The 2,610-nt window shown below is 46.2% G+C and overlaps 1 annotated feature.

Moving 5' to 3' along the window:
* Positions 1,452–1,989: an enhancer, noted in NCBI's record as "H3K27ac-H3K4me1 hESC enhancer chr5:26476479-26477016 (GRCh37/hg19 assembly coordinates)". NCBI's record gives its function as "activates a minimal SCP1, AML or CMV promoter by ChIP-STARR-seq in naive H9 embryonic stem cells {active_cell/tissue: H9 hESC(naive)}" and the evidence as "EXISTENCE:reporter gene assay evidence [ECO:0000049][PMID:30033119]".

The raw sequence follows: 2,610 nt of genomic DNA, 5'->3' as shown, positions 1-2,610 counted from the left end.
TAGGATAGTTAGCTCTTCTTGTTGAATTGATCCCTTTACCATTATGTAATGGTCTTCTTTGTCTCTTTGATCTTTGTTGGTGTAAAGTCTGTTTTATCAGAGACTAGGATTGCAACCCCTGCCTTTTTTTGTTTTCCATTTGCTTGGTAGATCTTCCTCCATGCTTTTATTTTGAGCCTATGTGTGTCTCTGCACGTGAGATGGGTTTCCTGAATACAGCACACTGATGGGTCTTGACTATCCAATTTGCCAGTCTGTGTCTTTTAATTGGAGCATTTAGTCCATTTACATTTAAAGTTAATATTGTTATGTGTGAATTTGATCCTGTCATTATGATGTTAGCTGGTGATTTTGCTCGTTAGTTGATGCAGTTTCTTCCTAGTCTCGATGGTCTTTACATTTTGGCATGATTTTGCAGCGGCTGGTACCAGTTGTTCCTTTCCATGTTTAGCGCTTCCTTCAGGACCTCTTTTAGGGCAGGCCTGGTGGTGACAAAATCTCTCAGCATTTGCTTGTCTGTAAAGTATTTTATTTCTCCTTCACTTATGAAGCTTAGTTTGGCTGGATATGAAATTCTGGGTTGAAAATTCTTTTCTTTAAGAATGTTGAATATTGGCCCCCACTCTCTTCTGGCTTGTAGGGTTTCTGCCGAGAGATCCGCTGTTAGTCTGATGGGCTTCCCTTTGAGGGTAACCCGACCTTTCTCTCTGGCTGCCCTTAACATTTTTTTCTTCATTTCAACTTTGGTGAATCTGACAATTATTTGTCTTGGAGTTGCTCTTCTCGAGGAGTATCTTTGTGGCATTCTCTGTATTTCCTGAATCTGAACGTTGGCCTGCCTTGCTAGATTGGGGATGTTCTCCTGGATAATATCCTGCAGAGTGTTTTCCAACTTGGTTCCATTCTCCCCATCACTTTCAGGTACACCAATCAGACGTAGATTTGGTCTTTTCACATAGTCCCATATTTCTTGGAGGCTTTGCTCATTTCTTTTTATTCTTTTTTCTCTAAACTTCCCTTCTCGCTTCATTTCATTCATTTCATCTTCCATCACTGATACCCTTTCTTCCAGTTGATCGCATCGGCTCCTGAGGCTTCTGCATTCTTCACGTAGTTCTCGAGCCTTGGTTTTCAGCTCCATCAGCTCCTTTAAGCACTTCTCTGTATTGGTTATTCTAGTTATACATTCTTCTAAATTTTTTTCAAAGTTTTCAACTTCTTTGCCTTTGGTTTGAATGTCCTCCTGTAGCTCAGAGTAATTTGATCGTCTGAAGCCTTCTTCTCTCAGCTCGTCAAAGTCATTCTCTGTCCAGCTTTGTTCTGTTGCTGGTGAGGAACTGCGTTCCTTTGGAGGAGGAGAGGCGCTCTGGTTTTTAGAGTTTCCAGTTTTTCTGTTCTGTTTTTTCCCCATCTTTGTGGTTTTATCTACTTTTGGTCTTTGATGATGGTGATGTACAGATGGGTTTTTGGTGTGGATGTCCTTTCTGTTTGTTAGTTTTCCTTCTAACAGACAGAACCCTCAGCTGCAGGTCTGTTGGAGTACCCTGCCGTGTGAGGTGTCAGTGTGCCCCTGCTTGGGGGTGCCTCCTAGTTAGGCTGCTCGGGGGTCAGAGGTCAGGGACCCACTTGAGGAGGCAGTCTGCCTGTTCTCAGATCTCCAGCTGCATGCTGGGAGAACCACTGCTCTCTTCAAAGCTGTCAGACAGGGACATTTAAGTCTGCAGAGGTTACTGCTGTCTTTTTCTTTGTCTGTGCCCTGCCCCCAGAGGTGGAGCCTACAGAGGCAGGCAGGCCTCCTTGAGCTGTGGTGGGCTCCACCCAGTTGGAGCTTCCTGGCTGCTTTGTTTACCTAAGCAAGCCTGGGCAATGGCGGGCGCCCCTCCCCCAGCCTCGCTGCTGCCTTGCAGTTTGATCTCAGACTGCTATGCTAGCAATCAGCGAGACTCCGTGGGCGTAGGACCCCTCCGCCCAGCCAGGTGCAGGATATAATCTCGTGGTGCGCTGTTTTTTAAGCCCGTTGGAAAAGCGCAGTATTCGGGTGGGAGTGATCCGATTTTCCAGGTGCCGTCCATCACCCCTTTCTTTGACTAGGAAAGGGAACTCCCTGACCCCAAGTGAGGCAATGCCTCGCCCTGCTTCGGCTCGCGCACGGTGCGTGCACCCACTGACCTGCGCCCACTGTCTGGCACTCCCTAGTGAGATGAACCCGGTACCTGAGATGGAAATGCAGAAATCACCCGTCTTCTGCGTCGCTCATGCTGGGAGCTATAGACCGGAGCTGTTCCTATTCAGCCATCTTGGCTCCTCCCCTCACAGCCTTTCAAAACCTTAGCATTGAGTCTCTAATGGGTTCCCTAGGAAAAACCATCCAACCCCTGTTACTGCATTTTCACTGATTAAGGAAGAATGTGCTCTGTATGGCCACTCTCAGGAAGCAGGCAGCATAAGGTCATCTGCTTCCTCCAGAATCCACTCATGTCTTTTTCCCTTATGATCTGGGTATGTATTCCTACTCAGTCTTTATAATAAACCTTAGCCATGAGTACAATTATATCCTGAGTCTCATGAGTCCTTCTAACAAATCTTCAAAATGGAGGTTTTTATGTGGAC

The sequence above is a fragment of the Homo sapiens genome, chromosome 5 (genome assembly GCF_000001405.40).
Source record: "Homo sapiens chromosome 5, GRCh38.p14 Primary Assembly".
NCBI classification, from domain to species: Eukaryota; Metazoa; Chordata; class Mammalia; order Primates; family Hominidae; genus Homo; species Homo sapiens.
The sequence above is the reverse complement of the archived record's forward strand: the minus strand, read 5'-3'. Positions and strand labels throughout refer to the sequence as shown.